Source organism: Homo sapiens, chromosome 2 (assembly GCF_000001405.40).
Source record: "Homo sapiens chromosome 2, GRCh38.p14 Primary Assembly".
Classification (NCBI taxonomy): domain Eukaryota; kingdom Metazoa; phylum Chordata; class Mammalia; order Primates; family Hominidae; genus Homo; species Homo sapiens.
In genome coordinates, this window is record NC_000002.12 from 192185000 (window position 1) to 192212040 (window position 27041).

At 37.1% G+C, this 27041-nt stretch overlaps 1 protein-coding gene across 6 annotated transcripts in view, besides 1 other annotated feature; it reads right to left on the reverse strand.

Moving 5' to 3' along the window:
* The window catches only part of TMEFF2 (transmembrane protein with EGF like and two follistatin like domains 2), a 245888-nt gene extending 235954 nt beyond the window's left edge, over positions 1–9934 (reverse strand). For all 6 annotated transcript variants that reach the window (XM_011510890.4, XM_017003739.3, NM_016192.4 and 3 more), the window contains exons 1-2: positions 9354–9934; positions 6881–6990 (exon numbers count right to left, since the gene is read on the reverse strand). In XM_011510890.4, the coding sequence (XP_011509192.1) occupies positions 6881–6990; positions 9354–9525 (282 nt within the window). In that variant the 5' untranslated portion in view covers positions 9526–9934. The remainder of the gene's footprint in view (positions 1–6880; positions 6991–9353) is intronic.
* Positions 9880–10455: an enhancer, noted in NCBI's record as "H3K27ac-H3K4me1 hESC enhancer chr2:193059605-193060180 (GRCh37/hg19 assembly coordinates)". NCBI's record gives its function as "activates a minimal SCP1, AML or CMV promoter by ChIP-STARR-seq in primed H9 embryonic stem cells {active_cell/tissue: H9 hESC(primed)}" and the evidence as "EXISTENCE:reporter gene assay evidence [ECO:0000049][PMID:30033119]".

Consider the following 27041-nt stretch of genomic DNA (forward strand, 5'->3'; position numbering starts at 1 on the left):
AATAGTCAGATAAGATACTGATTTACTTATTTTTATACCTCTTTAGACTATTGTATATTGATGTGGATATGGTCTAGAGAGAAGCAAAACTATGGAACTCAGAGAAAAATTTCAACAACTACTGAACTATAAGTAAACTTTACCGACTATTCCAAAGTATGTCTATTAATAGATATTCCATAAAGAGAAAAGTTCATTTTTAAAAAACCTCATTATTAAAAAAGTACACATATTACAGTGAAAATTAAGGCAACCAACAGGGTATAGTCATCATAATATAATCATACTCTAAGGCATTAATGATACTTGGCTTTGTTCTATGCCTGCTAATTACACCAGGGATGTGATTATCTCATGATTACTACTACTTATGTGCTTCATTGTTTAATTATAAAAAATATAATGATCAAGATTATTATCTGTATATGCTCACCTATGCCAGAAACTAAGTAAGGAAAATCATACTTACAGATGCATGTTAAAAACTCTATGTTTTACTTTTGATTAATATATTTGAATCTTTGATGTGCTGTGAGTTCAGAATACATACAAAATAAACCAATAATACAGTGAGATGGGTAGTAAAGTTTAAATATATGTGATAACAAACCTAAAACCCTATCATAAATAAACCTCAACTCAAGAATGTATGCAAAAGAAAACACCTCTCAACATGTTGATAATCTGATTGATTAAAACCTGAAATTTATTATTTTACTCTATTTCCTAACAATACCTAAACCTCCTTATTCCTAATCAACTATTTAACTCTTGCTCTTTGCCTTTATATAATAATAGCTTAATTATCATAACAAATTTAAATGTCAATGTTCTTTGAAATGAAAGCCTAATTCTATAAGTTTTACTTTTTCATATATTATTAACAACTTAAATATAATGTTTTGGTAATTGTGATCAACTTTTTTCCAAACAGTAAACCCAAATGGTATGACAGTCATATTAAGATGACCATAATTACTAACAGGATGCTTTAGCACATATTTTATAAATATTCTTTATCTTAATTTCTACAATATATAATCTAGATATTCTGCAAGTCCTCTATATAGTAATTCTTTTCCACAGTTGCATTTTTGTCTCCCAGACTCAGTCTATGTATGTGATTATATTTAAAAAACTGATTTGATTAGAGCTTTTCACTAATCTTTTGCTAATGTTTAACTCAATCAGAAACTGACTTCTGATTAGGTGATACCTGTGTAAGCACTGTTTTCCAGGAGCTTTCCAAAAATTTGTTTTAATTTACATCTGAAAACTGACTCACCACAGGCCTGAGCATCTCCACTACCATCCAAGAAAGAAGGCAGGAGCAAAATGCCTGTAAGATTTGAATTTTCCAATGAGTAGTACGGAAGAGACCACAAATAAATGTGGCTTGTGCTCATGCCAGAACTGTGGCCAGCAAGGCAAGTGCAGGGATAGGTGCTTGATAAATGTGCTATGATCAGAACCAGGGACAGGAGAATGTAGGTAGGATTATGTTGATCTATGAACACTACAGTGGTGTCTGAGCACGTGGAGGAGAGACAAGAAAGAAGGAAACAGCTGGTGACATAATGATCGATAGACTTGCCGATCCTTTCAGTAGACAGAAGAGAGTCATAATGTGTCTATGGCTAGCTGGACTAGTTAACATCTCATGCTTGAGGCCTGGTATTCTTGCCCCGGGCTACCTTTCAATCTCCATCTCCATCCCTGCTTATAATACTTTGTATGTAGATTATTTGGGTCCGTGTTTTCTTCTCTCCGATCCTTAAATTTTATTTATTTATCCTTCTCAGATTACTCAAATATAAAGTCAGTGAACTGGGAGTGGAGAGTGGAAAGTATTTATTATCTCTCCCAAGTGCTAGTACACAATGCTGATATGCATCTTAAAATATCGAATAAACTGATAAAGTGCTCATATGCCGCTTCTGAGGGATGCAGTAAGCCAAATTCGAACAGTTCTAAAAACAGAGCTGCCAAGTTCCATGCACAAGCCAAAAGGGAGATTTCTACAGAGCTGAAAAGAGCTTAACTGTAGATTACTGGCATGATGTTTTTGGCCCTTAGTATCAAGACTTGCACTTATTAATATGAAGAACACCAGAAGGAAGCACGCTGTAAATCATGAAAGCTCACGAGTGGGAGTCTAGTCCTAAGTTGTCCTATCTCTTTCACTGTCTTGGTGTAGGACCTTTTGTATATTAGTTAACAATGAAATATTTAACAGGTTTATAGCCTAGTTTTCCCATTTGAAATGCTTACCTGGAACTTTTGGGAAATTAACAAAGTCATGTTTTTAAAACAAGAAATATCTTGTAATACTCACTTATACAAAGACATGTAAATTATTTGCTTTGTATGATATGTATTTTAACTAGTAGAGTTATCATCTAACTCTAACATCAAGCCATGGTGTTTCTAGAATTAGAAAAACAAGAGGAAACAGGCTAACCCTAAGCATGAAATAGCCTAACTACTGCATTAAAATATGCCAAATTATTGGAAATAGTTTTTAGTAGTATTCATGATACTGCTCAGTTTCAGATGAAGGGACGGACTCAGATGTTAAGTGACCTGCTAAAGACCACACAGTTGCCTGGTAAGAGGAAAAACAAGACTCAAGTTCAGATGGTTAGGTCCATAAACGTATGTGTTGTACAAACTTCCTCTCAGGGGAGAAAGTGATTCTATTTTTCTATGTTTTAAAAATCTTATGTTTATTTTCCAAATAAGTGTTTTTCAGTAGAAGAATTCTGTTCCAAAATGGGCTACCCACCACACTAGTGGATTCAATTACTTGGCACACTAGAATGCATGAAATTCATTTTTGCTACAAATTAATAAACATTATGTGAGAAGTTTTTCATGGGATTTATTGCTTGTTTGATTAATACAGGTTTTTTGAGCTGAGATTTCAGCATCTAGAAGCTTATGTATGACTTATGTTTTATATATTGCCAGCACCTTCCACAGAGTCTGGCATGTAGAAGGTGCTCAACAGATGTTAAGTCAATTCTGTTATATTCCCAGTTGTCAAAGGCTTAAGAAGAATGGCTTGGGATATGGTATATTTTTCTTCCAAAAGGGAAAAAAGATTAAAAAAATCTGCATATGTTCCAATCCTTTGGCCATTCCATAAGTAATTTTTACTTTTCTGTGATTTATATTTCCTTAAATGTAAAAAAATTATGATTTTAAGAGCGGACAGGCCTGTGACTATGGTGGAAATGACTCTGTGTGCCTTCCCAGGCTAGGTCATTAACGGATATAGCTTCTACCTGGCTCTTTCTTTCTCTCTGGATGCTTGACTTTGAAACTCAGCCACTATGCTATGAGGAAGACAAAACTTGCCCGTGCAAAGAGATCAACATGGAGAAGAACCAAGGTCTTCAGCTGACAGTCAGACATATGAGTGAGAACCCTCAGATCGGTATAGCACCAAGCCTTTGAATTCCCTCCCCTCACCATCAGCTAATGCCAAAGAGAGCAGAGGTGAGCTGTTTCGATTAAGCCCTACCAAAATGGCAGATTCATCAACAAAATAAATATTCATTGTCTTAAGACACTAAGTACTGGGCAGTCTGTTACGCAGCTTTACTAATAAGAACATTTGTAGATCTAAAGCACGACTTATTAAATAAAAACATTTAGTATCTGAATTAGGTAATACCTGAAAAACATAAGGCTTCATCATATTTTTAAATTATAAAGTGGTTATTGATCACTGCATGACCAGGGTTATCTATAAATATCTGCATGCATCTCCCTTCCTTTTTTCCTCCCTCTCTGCCTCCCTCCCTTCCTTCCTCCCCGCTTTTCTATCTATCTATCTATCTATCTATCTATCTATCTATCTATCTATCTATCTATCTATCTGTCCATCTACTGTCTCCAAATTTTCATCCTCATAATTACTGGGCTTAATACCTGGGTGATGAAATGATATGTACGACAAACCCCCGTGACACATGTTTACATATGTAATAAACCTTCACATGTACCCCAAAACCTAAAATAAAAGTTTAAAAAAGGGGGGAGAAAACAATTATCTCACCGGGTTGTGAGAAATAAATGAGATAATATGTTTGAAGGACAGAAATCAGTTTATTTAAAATCGTCTAAGAGAGGTGAAGGCTAATAATGTTTACTTTAGTGTTCCAGTGATAAGGCAAATTGAAAACATTATAGGTATAAAAATATATGCCCATTTCTCTTTGAAATTTATCTCTCAGCTAGAAAGACTATAGATTGCAGGCTGGGTGTGGTGGCTCACACCTGTAATCCTAGCACTTTGGGAGACCGAGGCGGGTGGATCTCCTGAGGGCAGGAGTTTGAGACCAGCCTGGGTAACGTGGTGAAACCGTGTGTCTACTAAAATTCAAAAAAATTAGCTGAGAATGATGGAGTGCACCTGTATTCCCAGCTACTCGGGAGGCTGAGGCACAAGAATTGCTGGGACCCAGGAGGTGGAGGTTGCAGTGAGCCAAGAGGGCATCACCACTATCCAGCCTGGGTGGCAGAGCAAGACCCTTGTCTCCAAAAATTCCAAAAAAAAAAAAAGGAATGCACGCTTGTACCTGAAAAGGCAGCAGAGAAAGAAACAGAAGTTTAGGATAATATATAGGAAAATAGATTTTCAATACCTCTCCCTTTTTATCAGATACTAGGGCTAAAATAACAAACACCAAAAACTCAAATTCATGTATTGGGAAAAGATGGACTCAAGAGACTCTTAGCTTAAAATATCCTATTTATTATTCTTCATGCAACTTATACTTTTCTTTGATTTTCAACTTAATTCAGCCACTCTATATTCTTGGTATGTGCAAAGTCTACATTTTCCACTAGGGAGATGTTTATTTTTTCTTGCCAGATTGACAACTATTGCAAAGCACAAACTAATAGCAGTAGTAGTACACTAGTACATTTAAAATGCCACAAGGATTACAAAAAAACAATTTACATTTTAGTTTCTTACACAGACTTGCATTCGTTTCCACTCCCCCATCTATTCCACTTAACGATTATTTAAATTAATGACAAACATGACTGGCCAATGTATGAAAAACACAAATATTTTTGTTGATAAAAGTTTTACCAAAATCTTCTGTGGCACCTATAAAATGAAAACAATTCCTTTAATAAGAAAATTATTTATTTTCATTTCGTAGCATTCATCCCTTTAGAGTTCTGTCAACCCCTTTTTTTTTTCTCCTGGTGAAATCTTAGAACCATGGCTTTACATTTCAGGAATGTTTTTCCTGGTTCATTTGATACTTTTTATGAGTTCATTGCTTTTGTCTACCCATGGTTATGAAAATAAGACAAATTTATGGAAATCACAAAGGGAAAGAAGGAAAAAATTCACAAAATTCTCTGGGACTTTAATTAATGATTTATCCAACTGTGCTTTTTTCCTGTTTAGTTAACATTTGGGTAAGTATGAATTGGGGAGTTCTCATACTCTATCTCTCTCATGTAGTTCATTGGAAGTACATAATGGCACTGTTTAATGTGGCTGCAGACCTTAGAAGTTGACGTTACATGCATATTAAATATGCAAGAATATGTTTCTGACACTATGGTATGGTCTAAAAAACTGTACAGTCAGAGCACTACTTACCCACCAGGAGGTGGTGCACTTTACAAATATCAGTTGTCTTATTATGTTTCTTAGAAAGAATAAAATAATGTCTAAGAAGGTTTTAGCATTTCTAAAAGCCACTTAAACTTTATTTAAATGTGAATTCTCTTCTCTTTCTTAGTGGGAGGTTGAATTCCATCTAAAATATTTAAATTTCATCAATAATTCTAAATATTACTTATTAACCAGATATCTAGGTCTAAATTTGAGTTTATTGTTTTTATTTGTTCTATATCATTTTTATTCTTACAATCTTAGAAAAGTTTTCATTATCTCACATACAGTTTTGTTTATGTGCATATTTCCTGGTTGAGTCATATTGTCAGATTTTAAAAGTATTTTTAAAAGTAACTTAAAATACTCAAGGGCAAATATAGGCTATTAGTACAACATCCATGCTACTTGAAGTTCTGCATGATTATATGAACACTTTGAGAGGAAAAGTTTTATAACTTACATGGTGGAAAGCATTTGTTAGCTAATGACTATACTAATGACACTAAAAGTTCTATCTTTAATAGATACTAATAACCCAGTTTTGATCATGCCAGTAGTGCAACTTCTTTCTCTCTTTGTTAGTTAAAAGAAATTAACACAAGAAAAAGTACATTTCCTGATGTTCATAAAATGACTTGTGGATCTAAATGCTCTTCTGGATTCCTAGGGGATTCAGTTCTAATTGAGTGTGGTATCTATGAAAAAGCTGATATACACTAATTAATAAGTTCCATGATTTCCAAATTAGAACAAAGTGTTGAGGTTACACTAATAAGGAGTTACCTTAAAAACCTAGTCAGGTTGCAAGGATAATAAAGGCCAAGACCATTAAAACAGATAGCAATAAGATAAAAAGATGATAGCCCCAATCAAAAAGAACAAAAGAATAAGTCCACACTTCTTACCCCCTATTTTGACTATTATCCCCAGTCAATTCACTTTTAAAGTGATGCTAGAAGGGTCAGAGAAACATAATTTTCCTTTGACATCCCAAAAGCACAACCTGAAGCTTTCTACCTCCAGCAGCATTTATAACTTTGGCATATACATTTCTCCAAAAAGCGTATGTCTTCTTGACATCAGTTGGCTCTCTTGCTAGTACTTTTGCTTGGTGCCAGCTTCCCTCTTAGCTTGCATAGCTATAAATTTCCAAGTGATAGGCTGTAAAGGAAGATTCCTGCTTTGCAGTCTCATTAATGAATTAGAAGATGCAAATATAAGACTTCTTACCTTGAACTGACAGACGCAAGTCACAGTGTCTCCAATTCTTAAACATTCCCCATCAAATTTACAGGTGTTGGTGTCACAGAGGAAGAGATCATTTTCTCTGTCATCATAACCTCAAATTCAAAGAGAACACTCCAGTCATTAAAACATCTTACAGATTTTTAACAAAAAAAAGCACTACTTTGAAGCTTTAAAATACTTGTCCTAAATTTTAAATCCAACAACTATAGCTGTACTGCAAGGTCACTGTCTACTGATAACCTCAAAATCTAGTTAAGTGATCAATATTCGTTTCCATTTTCCACAATTCTTTTCTAGTCAATTCTCCTTTAGTATCCTTTTCTGATAGTGCTATTTTTTAAAGCTTGCGTTAATACTGACAGTGGTGAATGAAAGCTTAACATTTGCTTCCTGTTTTTTTTTTATTTTTATTTTTTGCTCATTAGGTGGACAATATTTATGACCACAAAACTCCACATTTTGGAAAAGAGCTAGTGATGATCTCTGAATACCCTTTTACCATTTCCCCATCTTTAATTGTTCTTTTGCTTCAACGACTGAAACAACCCCTTATTTGAAATGTATCCAGACAAAGAGGAAACAAAGCCTCAATAATAAAGATAAACAGGCACAGTGTTTTCTGTGATGGTCTGTTTGGCTCAAATGAAGATTGATCACCTCTAAGTTAACAGGGGTGGAAGCGGGGTGCCAAGTTCTTGACAACCTATCTGCAAAACCAGTTTATTCTCTTTAGTTTATGCAGTCCCCTTTAAAATATCTGGTAAATATGTAATTTCTTGATTGCAAATGTCAACTTCACATTTAAGTTAGTTATTTCCTAAAACAATGCAAGGGCTAGGAATGAAGCAAACCAGTCTGTGTTGGACTACAAAGCCATCAACATTTCCAAAAATTGTTTTTGCAGGCTCATAATTATTACCATAATAAAGCATCTAAAAAGTGATTAGGCAATAGCAAAGTGAAACTTATTCTTTCAAAAACAACACACATGTACGCATGAATCAAGAAGTTATAGAAACATGTTGAGTTTTATTAAAATGCCAAATTTAGAAACTGCCAAAAAAGAGAACAATCTATTGACCCAAATCTAATAGGGTTGCATATCTCAACTTGTCTTTGTAAAGGATAAATTAGAATGATGCATAATAATTTTCCTTTTGGCATTTACATCAGTAATAACTAGGAACTATACAGGCTTTCACCCTGAGTTACAGTTGGTCATTCCCTCCTCTCTAAAGTTACATACACTTCAGCTTATATACATCTTTGAAAGACACTTTATTCAGAGCCAGATTTAACTACAGCAAAATTATATTCACAGAAGATGAAAAATTACATACACACTTGCTAAAACTAGAACAGACCACACCTAGGGGACAATACCCAGGCATGTTAACGGAGTTTAAAATGCCAAGGAAATTACACCACAATTCTGCCCAGTATACTACAGGCTGTCAAACCGAAATGCTATGCCAGCTAGGAGTGCAGCAACTCCCATCCTCTGGCCCTATTTAATTAGGAAGCTTCAGCAGAGCGAAGCCTGCCAAGCGTTCGCCGTCAGAATCTGAAGGAACCCGAGCGAGCAAGAAGAGTGCCTGACCCACTCCACAGAAGCCTGTCCAGAAATGGAGGAGTCAGCGCCCACTGAAGTCGGTTCCGCCCTCGGCTCGCCTACATGGAGCCTGACCAGCCTCAGTCATGCCCACTCCGGCCTGGGAGACCCGCAAAGTGTTCTTTTTCTCAACTCCCCTGTACTACCTTGAAGCTTAGGGAAGCAAAGAGAGGGGCATATCTGGACTGCAAAACCAATGTCTTTTGCCGCCTAGGAGAGAAGGGAATGAGAGAGAGAGAGAGATAGATAGATAGAGAGAGAGAGAGAGAGAGAGAGAGAGAGAGAGAGAGAGAGAGAGAAATTCTATTGAAACCCAGCTCCTCTAGAATCTGTGTGACCTGGTCTTCAACGGGAGACCAGTGCGACCTCATGGCACCTTTGCCAGGAATCAGCGATTCCCCTGCAGTCACCATTTGATTTATTGCTTTCTCGCTCATTCTTTCTCATAAAGTTATTTCTTCCTCATCCTAGTAAGACTTTTTTCTTTAATGATGACAAAGCTTCTGTTTCAGTGTTTCCCCTAGGATTGGTGCTCTTTCAAAACAGTGAACCCAGAAAACCATCCCGTTTAATATTTCTCAAAATCCTCGCAGCTCCAATGTAAGCGCAAGCATGCAAAGGTTTCCTGCTACACCTGCACTTTCTGCCCATCCCAGAACCACCCCTCACCCCCGGGCCTGCAACAGTTCCCCTTGTTTCTCTGGATAGAGGTGGGTGGTATTAGGGGTCTAGGGCAGTAGGAGGTGAGGGGCTGAGGAGGCGCGCTAGGGTAGGCTGGTCTGTGCTGGATACGCGTGTTCTTCTGCGGAGTTAAAGGGTCGGGGACGGGGGTTCTGGACTTACCAGAGCAATTCCAGCCGGTGGGCGTTTGGCAGTCACTTAAGGAGGTAGGGAAAGCAGCGAGCTTCACCGGGCGGGCTACGATGAGTAGCATGACGGGCAGCAGCAGCAGCCAGCAAAAGCCCTCGCAAAGTGTCCAGCTGCTGCACTGCCGCGGGGACTCCCACAGCACCATGACTAGTTCGTGCAACTCTGCAGCAGCAAACGGCTTCCGAGGAACACAGGATCGCGGGGGCCGGGCAGCGGGCTACTGAGCATCCCGCGGACGGCGGCAGCAGAGGCGGCGGCGGTGGCAGTGGCACCCGGCGGGGAAGCAGCAGCCAAACCCGCGCATGATCTCGAGAGTTTCAGCAACATCCAGGGACTGGGCTCAGCCCCGGAGCGAGAGGGTCGTCCGCTGAGAAGCTGCGCCGGAGACGCGGGAAGCTGCTGCCATAAGGAGGGAGCTCTGGGAAGCCGGAGGACAGGAGGAGACGGGAGTCCAGGGGCAGACGAGTGGAGCCCGAGGAGGCAGGGTGGAGGGAGAGTCAAGGCGCCCCGCAGCCCGGCAGCCGCCTCTCGAGCTCTGCCGCCCGCATCCCTCTGGCGTTTGGGAAGCAGCAGGTCCTCAGCCCGCCCGGGGTCACGTGGGAAGAGGCAGTCGGGCTCTGATTGGTGGAGCAGGATGCAGGTCCCGGGAGGGAGGGGTCGACGAGGAGGTGCAAGGATGCAAGGAGGAGGCGGCCGCGGAAGCCACAGATGGGCTCGCTCGCCAGGCGCTGGCCCGAGTGGGGCTAGGCGGGGATGGCTCAAATGAGAAGCTCGGGCTTCAGGGTGGGCTACCCGCACACTCATATACCATTCGCCTCACTCTCCGCTCCAGGACGCCCCCTACCGAAGGCGGGGTCCGGACTAGCGCCCCTCTTCCGCGCGTGACCCCGGGCCGCGAGTGCGGGCCGCGGCTGGGTGGCGTCTCTCCGAGCTGGAGATGGTGGGGGCGGAGGTGTCAGAGGAGCAGCAGCAGCAGGGCAGAGAGGGGCGAGTCGGCGCGGGAGAGGGCGTCCTGCTGGCGACCGGCGCTCCAGCGTGCGGGAGCGCGCCGCCTAGGCTGTAGGGGGATGCAGGCTGGGAATGTCGCGGCGGAGAGGCCAGGGACGTTTCTCTAGGGATTTACAGGAAAGAGGGTGAGAGGCGATGGTGTTAGAACCGCTCTTGCCGACCTGGAAGCAACAGCAGCATCTCCCACAAGAGCGTGCAACCCCAAGGCTGCTCGCCGAGGCAGCTCAGCCATCCCGGCAGGCGCTCTCCTTCCTTCTCTCTTCTCCCCTCTCTCCTCCCAGGCCCCCCGCAGCTCCGACCCAGCCCAAGCGTTCGCAGGTTTGAATCCCTCTCCTCATCACCCGCTCCTCTCCAGCCCGTAGCCTATTAGTGTGTCCACCTGGGAGGTGCGGTCAGATGTGTTTGGAAGGTCAGATTGGTCGGGACAAGTGGTCTGAGAGAAAGAGAAAGGCTCCTCTGCATACGCCGCGGGTGGGTTGCCGGGAGCATCGGCCGGGCAGCGGCGTCCGGGAAGGGGAGAGCGGGCTCCATTTGTTGGCCCAGGCAGTGACCCTGCGTTCCTTACTCGGGTCTTTGCCGGATGGCCGGTGACCTGGGGCGACGAGAGAAGGTCTAACTCGGCAGGAGTCTCTGGCTCTGCGCGTTTCTTTCATTCTCTCCAGCGGGAAGGGCAAACGGCATAGCGGGACCCGCCTTCCGTCTGCTGCATTCTTCAGGCAGTTAGACACACTCTTTAGCCTAATGGAATTTTAGTCGCCAGTAACGGGACCAAGAGCTTTCGGGGACAAGGGTGGAGAGGAACATCTTTCTTCCATGACCGGGGTCACTATTGCAGTCTCAGTGTTTTGGATGCCCCATAGGGAAGAGCTTTCTTTTTGGTGTGTGATTATTCAGTGATTCCTGTTTTTGTTTTTGTTTATCTTCTCTCCGCTCTCCTTCTCTATTCCTCTCTGTTATCCCTCCTCCTTCTTCTCCCCCCGCTTTCAAAAGCCTCCGGATCCTCCCTTTTTCTATTTAAATTCTCCTTTTGTGCCCCTCTTTCTGTGTCCCCTGAATTTAGGAGAGCATTTGATAACATTTAACAGGCAATTAGTGTCCATTCCCAATCACTTAAAAGAGGCATTCATATACTTTGAAAACGGGACTATCTATCCTTTGCAGACACCAGCAGAAAAACAAATTGTACCCGAGTAATCCTTTTAAGTACTTTAACCTCCAACCTCCTCCCACTTCCTTGCTTTTTAACTTCTCCTTTGAGAGATGTGATCGTGCAGCACCTCAGTGCCTCAACGAAATCTTTTTTTTTTTCCTGTGTGAAATCCATCCCTTTATCTTACATCTCCGCCTCCGTCCGAGACTGTCCCTCTCCCCTCCCACCTCCAAAGATTTCTGAATCTCAGTGTCTCTCACTCCTGGCAATTAAGCAGCAGATCCCAGCATTCTAGTCGGTGGCATCTCGCTCCTCACCGACGAAGACTCCATTAAAACAGATCAATTAGACCAGACGTTGGAGGCATCAGAAAATCGGCTTCTAGACAGAGCAGCTAAATTCTTTAAGGAAACAGAATACCCATTAGATAGAGCTGCCAACTAATATTGCAAAACAAGGAATTAGAAATTTCTTTCGCTACAGGCTTTCAGCAGAGAAGGCAACATAAATATAGATCAAGATTTAACAACTCTACAGCAGAGAATGAGAACATGTCATTTTCCATAGCAAGGCTGGTGTGGTAACTAATCAGGCTTATGAAAATAAGTCATGCTTGAAACTAAAGGCAAAGTCCTTAAAAGTGTTTATGCAGTAATTATGATAATGAAACAGGACCTGCTAGGATTTCAGAGTTTGGCTATGTAAGTAGAATTTTAGAGAACCTCTTAGCAGAGGAAAACTGTTTTTGAATTTTCTGCTAAGTAAATTTTTGGCATACTTTCTAATAATATATGCTCTTCCTAAGACGTTTTGCCAAAAGTAAGTTAAAACTCCAAAGGAGTTAATTACTGGTTGTAACTGGTTAACAAATGCGGTTGCTTCCACAGAGGTCCTTTAAATTATTAAACAGTTTGAAGCAAAGCCTTTTCAATGGGAATGCTGCAATTTTGTTGCACTTACTCTGTACTTAGTGTTATAGTGCCACCAAGAAACAAATTCTGAAACTGGCAAGCACCACCAAGTGGCAGAAGAACATCACTCATTGAGCAGAGAATTGTATTACTGAATATGTAAATAAAAATATATACATTATTTAGACTTGTCACTAGGTACCAAAGAAGTAGACAAGACTGCATTAGCAATTGGATTAGTGCTTTAACTTTTCCCCAGCAAGGCAAAATCAGTTTACTTATTAGAATTAAATTTAAGTCTATGAACTGTACTTTGCATTGCGTATCATATGATTGCTAGTAATATGACACAATCATACCATGTATTTGCAAAATTCTTATTTTAAAATACTATACCATATTTACTTTCAATCTTCTTGAGCTAGAACACTTTATTTGTGGCATATACACTCTAGAATTGATGCAGAGGAGCAGAGTCCAGTTGTTAGATTTTTCAGTAGAAATAGTGCAGATATATTTTCTCCAGAAAACTTAAGAACATTTTTTTTTCTCATGGAAAGAACATCATTATAAAGTGTGAGATTACTCACAGCTTAAGTAGGGGGCTTGGGAGTTATTCTCCAACAAGAATAGTTTAAGATAAATAAATGAACCTGGGAAAATAAGATACACTGCCAATCAGAACTCTTATCTCCTTCATGATTTCATACTTTCTGATTGCTTCAATAAAGGTAAGATGTATCCTTTGCTTCTTAGGTGTCAGGCATTGTGCCATGTAGGATAGAACATGTTATTTTTATTTAATCTTTAAAACACCCCTATGAGACAAAGAATATTATCTCATTTTATATAAAAGGAATATGGCTTTGAAAGCATCAGGCAACTTGCCCCAAGAAACAAATCTCGTCAGTGACACTGCTGGGACTCTGTGAAATTCTGCCTGACTTCAGAGCACAAGACATAAGTCACTAATTTCTGCTGTATTGCTGCCTGTTAGCTTCTGAGAGGGGAAACTAACTGGGAACGTATCAGTTCTGTCCATGATACTTCATTTGCCCTTTCTGTGGAGCCGCAGTAAGGCCCAAACTTTAATTCTCAAACTTCGGCAATAAGATCCAGTGATTTCTGAACCTGGTTGATCATATGAATTCCTTGAGAAACTTTGAAACAATAGACAAATTCCAAGTCCCACTATCAGGGATTCAGAAAATCTGGAGTTGGGCCTTGGGATCCACATTTCAATATTCATCCTTGTTGGAGAAGTAAGGTACCACCTATACCTATATGACAAATGAAAGGATACCTCGATTTTTGCTCAGTTTTCACAGAGAGGTTTCTGAGACAGGTTAAAAGCTTTTACTCAGTGTAAAGATGAGCTGTTGTACATGTCTGTCTCTCTGTTTTTATGCATATGTTCACCAAATATGTATTAAGCTTCTAATATGTCTGACACAGTAACTTTGTGACTGTAGACAATTTCCTCATTTGTAAAATGTGAGTAATAACAATACCTGCCTCCTGGGCTTGTTCTAAAGATTAAAATAAAAATGTATGGTTTAATGGTAGTGGATTTGGGGGGATCCCCTATATAAATAAGTGAATGGAGGTATGAATAAATAAATACATAAAGATGTGTGTACTTATATTTATACACATAATTAAAAATAGTTAAAGATGTACAAATTAAAGTTAAATGTATGTGATATTGAAGTATATGTTGATTATTGATAATGAAGTACAGTATAATTTCTAACCCCACACCTTAACATCTCATACTTAATAACTCATATCTTAATTTCTAGCCTACTTAAGATACATAGATATAGATAGAATGTTCTAAATCATTATTGCCTTAGTTTTAATGTATAATATTCATATGAAAAAGTATCTATCAGTGTGTAGTAAATGTATTAGAACATTATTTATAGGTCAAATGATATTGACAATGTTTCAGAGTCGTCATCTTCATTTCTGGATAATTTTTCAAACTGAGAGTAATTAAATTTGCTATTTTTTCACCCTTTTCTACAATGGCAAATAACATATAAACAATGAGCTGTGATTTAAAGAAATAATTTTATAATGTAAAAGCTTCCCTATGCCTTATTGATTCCCATGCCCTTAATTAATTTTGGTAGTTTAAGTTTGTGATTTCAGTGCTGAGGAAAGTTTATTTCATCTTAGAGCAGTGGGGCTCAGTCATGATTTCACATCACAATCACCTGGATAATTAAAGAATACTGATGCAGAGTTCGTATTCAAAGACTTGGAATCCCTAGAAGTGACACAGAAGCATTGGTATATATATATTTTTAAAGTTTTCCTGGAGAAACACATAGCCATGATTGAGAACCACTGTCCTGGGGAAAGTGACTATTTTCTCATTACTCAAATAGCCAAGTTTCAGGAGGTAAAATACTTACATTTTTCTCCATTAAAACTTGTAAAACACATATCTCACCAAAGACTATTAAAACATCTAGCCAAAGCAATATGAACTAGTTAATGTTTGCCACTAGCTTGCCAGTAGTTAAAAAAAAAAAAAGGAAGAACTGTTATTGGAAGAGAGCTAGATTTAATAAGCAGTAGTCATCTCTATACAATCTGGTGTCTTTTTATTTATAAATTCAAGTAGGTTTCCATTGCTATTAATTTAATCATAGCCTTCTTAGGGCTTAGCCTAATGCTTTATTTCAAACTCATTTTGAAATTTATTCTCTGGAGTCAGAAACAGGAACTAGAATCAGCTTGGAATGAAACTACCTTTCATGTCTCTCTTTGGCTACTCATGGCTTCTATTGGGGGAAATTAGAAAAAGACTTAGTAAAGGTAGTTCTTTCCAATTTGTATTATTAACACCATCCAGTATTGCATATTCTGAGCATTTTACTCATTTATTTCATACCATAAGCCCCAATCATTTCTCCCTTTATTATCTGTGACATTGATTTTTTTTTTCTCCAAGTTACTTGTTAGTGGTAGAACAGACCCCCGGAGCACTAATGTTCCCAGCCGCTTTGCTGCTGCTCTTCTACCCACTTGTCGTTCTTCTAAAAAAATAAATAAAGAAAAAATAGAAAAATGGAGGGGAGGAACTTCTTTCATACAATATTTAGGAAAACTTAATATAAACATCGCTCACTTGAAGCTTCACAGTGTGCATTTACACATTAAAGGCTCTGAGGAGCCCTGCAGTGAAATCAAGCCAAAACACATCAAGCAAAACTAAACACCGGTTTAACTTTATTGACCTCAGATTTTCTAACATTATTTGATCATGAATCCCTTTTAGCAAGAAACCACTACAATAAACTATGGCAATGGATTTCCATATATTACTCCATTAGTAGCAATAGTTTAAGGAATGAATGAGCCTTTTGAAAAGTTGTGTTGCCATTTTTAGGTGCCAGGGCTGGTCATTCCCTTTGACTTGTCTTTTCACCAATGAAGTCAGCTCACAATCAGGTCTTTACATTAGTAGTGTAAATGTTCCACAATTGTATCTTCTGATGTAATGTATTCTGACATCATAAGCATTTTCGGAAAATGATTAAAATGTTAGCCTTTCCTGTACTCCACCACATTACCGCCTTTAAAAATCTTCCTTCCTTTATTTTACCTTACATAAATTCTAAACTGGATACTGTCATTTCCTTAGCAGTGATTGTAACACAGAATCAGATACAGATTGTGTCTGATAACACTACTTTCCAAAAAACTGAGTCTTATGTTGTTGAACATGTTAAAAGTGTTTAAATAGAAAATTCAAAAGATTTAAAAGAGAATTTAATTGACTTATTTACATGTCTATACTTATTTCTTTACAGTATAAATCTGGACATTTAGCCACTTGCTGATTATTATTAGAGCTTCCAATATAATGACATGGCAAGATCACATGACAGGAGCTAGGCAGCTGTTGACTATTTGAGTTGCAGTCTTTGCCTTGACATTTATAAGCATTAAAAAGCTCACTCGCTATACAGATATCTCCCATTTTTAGATGTACTAAATGTAAAATATATAATTTTACAATAATACTATATAATATATAATAAACATCTATTGTAGATAAAGCCAATCTATAAACACTTATATTCAAGATGGATATAAGTTACTTAGTTTCTCTGAGCCTCTATATATTGTCTTGGCCAGAGTTCATTTTAATACTGAGGTAACAAAGAAACCCTGGTGTAAAAAGAGGAAGAATATGTTGTGGAACTCTAGTGGAGTAAGGACATAGATTATGGGAAGGACTGAAATATACAAATAGGAAATCATCAAGAGTTAAAGCACACTTTTAATCTTTCTGGGGCAGCATTGTCTCTATTTTTTACTTTAGCTATTTACATCCTTCTTTGTCTGCATGGACCAGTATTCACTGTGATCCTACCATCCCCATCTTGGATATAAGTGTTTATAGATTGCATTTATCTATAATAGATGTCTATTATATATTATATATGTATTATTGTAAAATTATATACTTTACATTTAGTACACCTAAAAATGGGAGACATCTGTATAGCGAGTGAGCTTTTTAATGAACTATAGAACTAGTTTATTAATAATTATGTAAATTCTCTGACTTTCATATGTAAGATTTTCTTTTTTTTTTTTTTTTTTTTTTGAGACAGGGCCTGAGGCTTGCTGTTTTCCAGGCTGAAATGCAGTGGCACTATCATAGCTTACTGCAATCTCAAACTCCTGGGCCCCACCATGCCCAGCTAATTTTTAAATATTTTGTAGAAATTGGGTCTCACTATGTTGCCCAGGCTGGTCTCAAACTCCTGACCTCAAGCAGTCCTCCTTCTGCAACTTCCCAAAGTATTGGGATTACCGTCATGAGCCACAGTGCCCAACTAGATTTGCTTTTGAATGTAAGAGTCAAATAATGTTGAATTGTAAAGATCTTTAATTTTTGCTCAGGTACATCATTCTTCATATATGTATATACAGCAAGATGTAGCAAATTGACATATACATAGTTGGCGTGCAACAAATGGTGGTAAATTAAATTGAAATGTTAAAACTAAGTGTATTAATCGACACACTTTGGCAAGAATGCATCTATTTACACTGTTACCAGGGATGGTAGTGAAATCCCCTTTGAATAACCCGGAAGTTCTTTTACCCTGTCTTTTATGGGCAAGACCTATTTTAGAGTCAAAGTCCAGCACTGAGAATGTGAAGATCAGAGCACATCAGAGGTTGCCTAAGCAAGGGATAGTGAGTTTTAACTGTTCACATCTTCTGCTTATGTGTTCCCTAAGGGGTGGTCATTGGTTTTATTGCCTCACTATGAGAGTATGTTATTTGTGTTTTGGGGGTGTTATTATGCTTTTAGATTTTTGCTATCTATGTATTCCCATGGCTTCATGTCAGGAAATCCACTACCCAATTCATCAGACCATAAAACAAATAAATGAAAATTCTCTTGATGCAAAATTTGAGGTTTTCAAATGAAAGGAAAGGAAAGAGAAAGGAAGGTAGGCAGCAGGTGATATTTGGGGACCTGACATACACAGAAACACATGTATAGACTCTATCTAATCTATCTATCTATCATCTATCTATCTTCTATCTATCTATCTATCTATCTATCTAATCTATCTATCTATCTATATCTATCTATATCTATGTATGTATCTATCTAATCTATCTATCTATATCTATCTATATCTATGTATGTATCTATCTATGTTTCTATTTATGTGTCTATGTATCTATGTATCTATCTATCTATCTGCCTACCTACCTATGTCTCTATTGGCATATTTCCGTTTATTGTGCTTTGCTGCCCCCTTTTTTTTTTTTTTTTAACAAATTGAAGGTATGTGACAACCATGCATTCAACAAGTCTATGGGTGATAGTTTTTTCAACAGCATGTGCTCATATCATGTCTCGGTGTCACATTTTGGTAATTCTCACAATATAGCCAACTTTTTCATTATTATTACATCTATTTTGGTGACTTGTGCTCAAAACTTCAGTGGAAGAAGTAACTGCAGATGTGGTGGAAATAACAAGAGAACTAGAATTAGAAGTGGAGCCTGAAGATGGGACTGAATTGCTGCAATCTCATGATAAAATTTGAAGGGATGAGGAGTCACTCATGGAAGAGCAAAGAAAGTTGTCTCTTGAGATGAAATCTACTCCTAGTAAAGATGCTATGAACATTGTTGAAGTGACAACTTAGCTGATAAAGCAGTGGCAGAGTTTGAGAGGATTGACTTCAATTTTGAAAGTTCTGTGAGTAAAATGTTACCAAACAGCATCAGATGCTACAGAGAAATGTTTCACGAAAGAGCGTCATTTCAGCAAACTTCTCAAACTTTATTGTAGTCTTATTTTAAGAAATTGCAACAGCCACCTCAGCCTTCAGCAACCACCACCCTGATCAGTCAGCAACCATCAACATTGAGGCAAGACCATCTACCAGCAGAAAGATTATGACTTGGCTGAAGGCTCAGATTATTGTCAGCATTTTTTAAGCAATAAAGTATTTTTAAATTAAGGTATGTATATTATTTTTTAGACGTAATGCTATTGAGTATGTAATAGACTACAGTGTAGTGTAAACATAACTTTCCTATGCACTGGGAAACCAAAACATTTGTGTGACTCACCTTATTGTGGTGGTCTGGAAACTAACCAACATTATCTCCAAGGTATGCCTGTACACACAGACACACAGACACATGTATATACATACATGTATATTATATATAATATATAATGTGGGTATATATATGTATATATAAACACATGTATACATATACACATTATACACAACTCAAAATTCAAATCACAAAGAGTTTATATAGAATCATCCTGGCTTTTTAGCCTCAGATCTCACTCCACAAATGTAGCCACTGTCACCAGTGTTTTGAGAATCCTTTCAGATTTGTCCAGGCCCATCATCCTGTCATACCCTCTCTTTCTCTCTCTCTCTGTGTATGTGCGTATATATATTATATATATTATAATTTTATATACACACTATATATAATATATGTGTGTGTGTTTGATTTACAAATGAGCTCTTACCATATATACTGTTCTATTTCTTGCTTTATTCACTTAACACAAGGATATCTGCTTCATTTGAGTTGATAGAATGCCATACTAGATGTCTCATAATTTATTCAGTTTCCTGTTTATGGATGTTTATTTTATTTTATTTTGAAATTAAAATTTAATGCAATTGTGACACATAATATCCTCTCTTTGCAATGAAGATGTCTACCTCATCCCCCAACCAAAAGGGTAAAGGCCACAAGGAGAACATTACTATGTGTTTACTGGGAAATGTTGAGGTAGCTAGCCAAACAAAGGCTTACATTTTCACTCTTAACTACTCTCAGTGAGGAACATGTTTAACATGAGTGCCTTGTTAGAAATGTCTTTCAGATTTACTTCATATATACTTGTAAACAAATGATGCAGTTGCAACACGATTTCTTACAAGCTCTGACTTTTTGTTCATTTGTTGTCATAATACATGATTATAACCCTAAAATCTAATGTAATATTAGTTACCATATTATATTTCAGTGTTATGTGGATGGGTCTTGAATTCTTTCCAAAGAAGTTTAATTATATCATATCACAGTAGATGCATCTATTAGACATTAAAAAAACAGTGTTTAACGTGACACACCAGCGTAGACCAAGTGAATTAGCTCTTTTCTCCTACAAAGCTAAATCTTTTCTTTCAGTTATAGAAACTTTCTTTTCTGTTCACAGACCCCTTTGACAGAACTTTACCTATATAATAAACCTGCACATGTACCCCTGAGCTTAAAAGAAAAAAGGAACTTTCTTTTTCAGTTATAGAAAGTTTGTTGCTAAAAATGGCTGTTTTTTTTTTGTTTGTTTTTTAATTTTCCAATGTGACAATTAGCCATGGATTTACAATTATACCCCAAACAGGTTTTGGGGCAATAGTCAGGACACTGAACTTGAATTCAAAAATCTTGTTCCATGTTCTGGCTCTGATCCTTGTGATTATGTAAGTCTCACCTTCCTGATGCTCAATTTCATTATATATGCAACAATATGAGGATTAAATACGATTTGTTATCTGTAAGATGCTCTGTAATAAGACAGGTATTATTTGCTATTCACTATGTACAAAGCAAAATAAGTTTATGCTATTTGATTTTTGTTGCCAAATCCTAAATCAGCAGCCATTACAATTACTGGTGACAGTTTTTCTCCAACTTTCCCAGCTCCACACACTCTGGATTAAGAAATTACCTCTAATTCTAGACCAGGGTAGATATAAAAAATGTAAATAGGTGGATCTGTGTTAGGGTAAGTGTATTATGTATTATATTACATATTAAATTTTCTATTTTTATACGTGAACTAATGAAGTCCATAAAACTAGGAAACTTTGGAAGATAGGTCCCACATATTTTAAATACAACTAAGATAATTTGTCTAAGCAGAAAATAGTAGTTTTCTTCATAATTCTTCATTTCATTGAACTTTTAACTGTGATTCCCCTTTATGTAAATTAAACAATAATTTAGAGATTTTAAACATTTTGGAAGAGTTTTGTAGCTGACATTATCTTTAAGATATTCGTGATGTATGATTTAGTGAATAGGTGAGGAAATACAATGTCATGGTGAATAGAGAAAAAGCCACTTAATTTTATGACCAAATATATTTTTAATAGGTCAACTCTTTGATTATTTATTAGTAATAACTTTAACAATATTTACACAACACTTGTTTCTTACAAAACTGTTCATATATTTCTCACCTTCCTTAAATGACAGGTATTTTCATTTCCATTTGAGCCAGCTGAGAATTAATGTTAAAAGATTTACCTAATGTTTTCTGAGAATTCAATGCCCTGTAAAAATAAACTTACCTTATGAGTTGTCAAGATGACTACAAAGAGCTGAAAGAAAGCTTCTCTAGCTAGAATATATGTATTGTAAATATCAGTTTCTTAAACCGTTATTAGAGTGTAAGCAATCACTTCCTTGTTGCGTACATTCTCTCACTTGCCAAGTTGTACTGGAAGTGGATGCTAATAACTTGCACTTGGCTTGTACTTTAATGCGTTGGAATAGCACATTTCTTAATTGCGTATCATCTAGAGCGGTCTACCAATTTAGATGAAAGAGCTCTGTTCAGCACACGACTGGGAGGATATTGTGGTGAAAAGATATCAACAATCACTCCATTAATGTTTAGCTTATACTTGCATCTAATGGGTGATAATGCATCTTACGTGACATATATGAAGATAAATTTACAGCATTAATAGGCTTATATTCCATAACGATAAGCTATTTCTCTAACAAGTCCTACTTCGCTAATAAAATATTGTCTTCCTAGTGTCATGTGATAGATAAGGGTTAGATGATGTATGTTGCTTTTATTGACAGCAACAAAATGCCTTCATCTTGGTGTACAATATATATTTTTATTATATAAAAACAGAGAACATTGTCACTGTGTGGAAAGTTACATTTCATGAAAATATACATTTGGCAACATTAAATTATCTGTCTGGAGACATGGGTCATCTGCATATAACATTTAAAACTGCAGTTTAGTTTTTAAAGCTATTTATTTTTACTCCACTTTCAGATAAGATTTAACACAAATTTAAGCCAGTTAAGTAGTCATTTCGATATCTCTGAAATTGTACATATGAGGTAGCAATCAATCAGTTCAATCATGTTAAAATTTTCTTTCTACAGACATACCCATTGAAAGTTATTTCAGTCATAAATTCCTCATCTTAAAATCACTTACCATGAGTTCTGAGCATGTGAGAGTATAAATGATATTAATAAAAAAATAAAATAAATCTTAAATTTATTGTTTTTCCCACTTCAGCATTAAGATGACAACCCCATGTAAAAAGTAATTTTAAAGTCTCATTAATTTCATGACCCATCTCACTGTGGACTCATAGGCCCTTTTAAATATATTATTAGTACATATATTTTAGGGTATCACATTATTGAGAAGTGAATAAAAGCTGAAGTTCTTCATCCCAGAAAAATACTCATAAGCTTATGCCAAAATATACACATAGTTTCAGGAGGTACAAAGACTTCTCCAAAACTCATGAAGCTTAGGATAAACACCATATTTTATGAGTTATTTTTTATTGTTAATAAGAAAGATAATGTCACCACGTTATGTAAGCCATTTTCATAAAAAAAAGAAGCAATTTGTTGTGGAAGCATGATAGTTTATTTCCAAATGACTTAGTTTAATTTATAATTATATAATATAGATTGACTCTGATAATAAAGATCTATATTGATAAGTTGCATTAGATTTCAGATTGGGGCATATATGAAGAAATATAAAACTGTTGAATGCATATATTATTACAAAAAATATTTGTATATTATGTCTGTGGTTATTTCAATATTTTTATAAATCTCTATGTAAACTTACATAAGAGGAAAAATATATTTCATACATCTGTATACCCATATAAGTTTTTTTGTTTGTTTGTTTTTTTAGACAGAGTCTCACTCTGTCGCCCAGGCTGGAGTGCAGTGGCGCGATCTCGCCTCACTGCAAGCTCCGCCTCCTGGGTTCACGCCATTCTCCTGCCTCAGCCTCCCGAGTAGCTGGGACTACAGGCGCCCGCCACTACGCCCGGCTAATTTTTTGTATTTTTAGTAGAGACGGGGTTTCACCGTGTTAGCCAGGATGGTCTCGATCTCCTGACCTCGTGATCTGCCCACCTTGGCCTCCTAATGTGCTGGGATTACAGGCGTGAGCCACCGCGCCTGGCCATACCCATATAACTTTAAGAATATGCATATTGACACCCTTGTTCTACTTCTTTCATTATTCAATACTATCTTTAAAAGTAAAATTTTGCATTAAAAAACAAACACAAAAAGCGATGTTACCAAAAGAATTTTATAGGCCACTTAAAAGTTTTAGTGAATGAAAATATTTTTGTGAGTAACTTTGAACAAAATTGATCTCAGAATCTAGCATTAGATGATTATTGCTAACAAGAATGCAGGCAGTACCAAAGTCTGCTCCAGTTGTCGCTTAGTATACCCCTCTGCACATTTTTTCTTGATTCACATTACTTGTTACAGGAGCATCCAGTGAATTTATGATAGGATGGGATAAGTAAAGGAACACCATCTATGGCAAGAGGGAGGTGAGAATACAATTTTGATCTCTATATCAGAGTCTTGTATTTAATTTTTTCAACCTTCAATTTCACTTCTCTTTTACATATTCTTATGATACAATTTTTAAAGTTATCTGAGTGCTTTTATTTTCTAGGGTAAGGTAGGTTTTAATTAGGAAGCAGACATTATTATGACAATAGCAGAAATACTTAACTCTCAAATCAATGATCTTTGCTATAAAAAAGATACACTACGTTGATGTGGGATTAATCCTAATTTATTAATAGTTTCTATTTTCAGTATATTGATTTATTGTTAATAATTTGGGACCATTTCTCATCATTTCAATGTCATAAACACAGTCATACAGCTATATAATGAAAGGTATGTAGATGAGTGTGCATGGATGTAGTAGGATTGTACATTCATTTTTTCCACAAAATTGAATGCCTGTATGAGTCAGACCCCAAGCTACCTCTGAGGATGCAGTAGGGAACAAGATTGACAGTCTTAGGGAGTTTAGGAGGAAAATGGGTTTAGTGGCAAAGATAAACATTGAATAAGTAAGGACACAAATAAGTAAATGTAATTGTGAAAATTTTCATGGAGGATTAGTGCAGGTTTCTCCTGCACTAAAGTATGTAAAGTATATAATAATATCAAGTAAGTTGATCCAGGGGCCAGGAAGCTCTTCCTTCTTTTCTTCATTTACTCATTTAAATATTGGAGTTTCTCAGGGCTCTGTCTCACCCCCACATTTTTCTCATCTCCTTCCTGCTTACGTAGAGTTGAAGGTGAACTGTTAGGGGGATTGAGTAGGTATTGCTGTTTAGATAGGGGAAAACCATGACACAGAGTGTTTACAGGAGTGAGTAGGGAACTTGCCATAGGCTTTGGAGAGGCCAAATAAGATAAGATTAAAAATGTGCCACTTGAGTTTAGAAGTTGGTGTTCACTGGTGACTCGTCAAAGGAAGTATTAATGGAAGGGGATCCAGAGAGGAGATGGTAGATTGGGAGGTAATGTGAACAGATGATTTAGCTTCATCAGACCATGAAAGCAAGCTCTGTGAGGGCAGGAATTCTGCATCCTGGGAACTATAACAATGTCTAGCATATATTGCACTAATAATTGTTTGTTAAATAAATAAATGTTATGAGTTCTGGAGAGTAAACAGGAGCCAAATTTAGTAGATCATGCAGGGTCTTGTAAGTCATGGCAAGACTTTTGGCTTGCTGCTTTCTAAGTACAGTATAATGGAAAACCACTCAAGGATTTGCTCAGAGCCTAGCCAGACTGGATTTATGTTTTAAAATGAACACAGATCCCCCTCATGTAAAATGGATTGTAACTGTGCAGGCTGGAAAGTTATGAGGCTTTTGCGGCTTTCTTAATGGAAAAAAATAGAGTAATTGAGCAAGCAATCTAAACCAAGTAACCAGAGAATGGGTGGTCAGAAAGAGAGATGTCTGAATTTTTTTGTGATGACTAGATAAATGAAGTTATAATTATATAATAAATGATAGAAAGTAGCATCTCTATTTTTTAGATTACTAATATTTATAAGTGGCATAATTCATGTGGCCTTTATCATTTATATAACATGACTGCCCTGTGATTGATGACTGGCTATCATAGTCTAACTCTGAATCCATAGGAACTACTTCAGATCCTTCCTAGAATCTAAAATAATTCATTATTTCTATAAATCAGTCATTCTCTACTAACTTATTTTGCTTTACCATGTTCCAGGCACTATGCCAAATACTGGGGATAGAATGGTAAACAAGGTATACATGGTCTCTGTCCTCACAGTTTAGAAGAAAAGACAAAGCATGAGGAATATCATGAAAGGATAAGAACTAGAAAATGTTTGGTAACATCAAAAATCAAGGTGATTAAACCTATTCTAGGAGATCAAGAAAGCCCACTAGACAAAAAATAAATAAAAATAAGTTGAGACCTTGTTATTTGGCCTCAGATGGAAATGGGGAAGAATAACATTTATGGTAAAGAATCAATGAAATATTCAGGCCAGGATTTATGCAGAGGCTGGCTCGCAGAAAGGAATACAAGGGCCAGAAAACAATGAGCAATGATGTTGTTTGATAGGCAGGAGCTAAATTGGGCATAGTCATGTAATTCATGTAAATGATATTGGACATTATTACCAAAACAATAGAGAAATAAAGAGGTTTCAAGTAGAAGAATGAAACAACTCACCATCTAGAGTCGTAAGCCAGTGCCATATTGAGGTTTCCTGCTCTTAAAAGATTTTGTTGGGCTTGGCCTGAGTTTCAATTCGTTCATCTGTGATGGAATTCAAAGTCTTACCCACAATTTCTGCAGATTACAAGATCTCACTGTCTTCTACTCCTTTCTAATTCTGTACTGCTCCAGGCTGCTTGGTGATTGTATTTGCTTTCCCCCAATGGACTTACAACTCAACTCCTTCATCCATTTCATAAGCAATCTACACATTAAATATTTCATAACTCTAGTGGGTTTTATTGTGACTTTAAGAGGTCACTGGAAAGAGACTCATCTCAAAGAAAGTGCCCCTATATCATTTACCTTATTCTATCTCATTTTCTTATCTTCTTTCTTTCATGGAGCCAGAAACAATGTTTTTCCCTTGTCATATTTAAAATTATTTTACTCATAACTCTTAGGGTCTTCTATCTTCAAGTATTTATCAATATATTCTTTCCAAAATTACACTTCTCTCTCTAAGATGAATTTTGGTGACAGCTGTTTGTATATTTTTCATCTTGTAATTTAATAAATATTCTTTAACTACTGAGTGGAAAAATTATAGTTCATTACAAATAAAAGTTCATAATGATAACCTAATCTGATTCTTTTATAGAAAAGAAGACACTTACACCCAGAGAGGTCAAGTTACTTGCCATTTTGCTATTGGCATAACTTGTTCAAGCAGTTGGACAGTTTGGCAGTTTTCCTAATCCACTGGACAGATATTTAGGCAGTTTTCCTAATCCAGTATTCTTTCTGTTGAGATTGTGGCTCTTCTTAGTATGCCTTTTATCTCATCGGAACTCATAAGCTCATAAATCCTCTCTATGGTTATAGCTTTGCCCCTAATTATAACTTGCCTATGTGGCCTGACCAAATTTTTCATTCATCCAAGGGAGTTGTCTTAGATCATTATAGCTTCTGTATCAAAATACCATAGACTTTGTAGCTTAGTAACAACAGGAATTTATTTTTCACAGTTCTGGAGGATGGGCAGTCCAAGAACAAGCACTGGAAGATTTGGTATCTGGTGAGGGCCCTTTTCCTGGTCTCTTCTAGCTGTGTTCTCACATGGTGGAAAGGGTAAGGCAACTGTAGGGCCTCTTTTATAAAGGCACTAATGCCATTTGTGAAGGCTCTGCCCTTGTGACCTAATTATCTCTCCAAGGCCCCATCTCTTAATTCCATCAT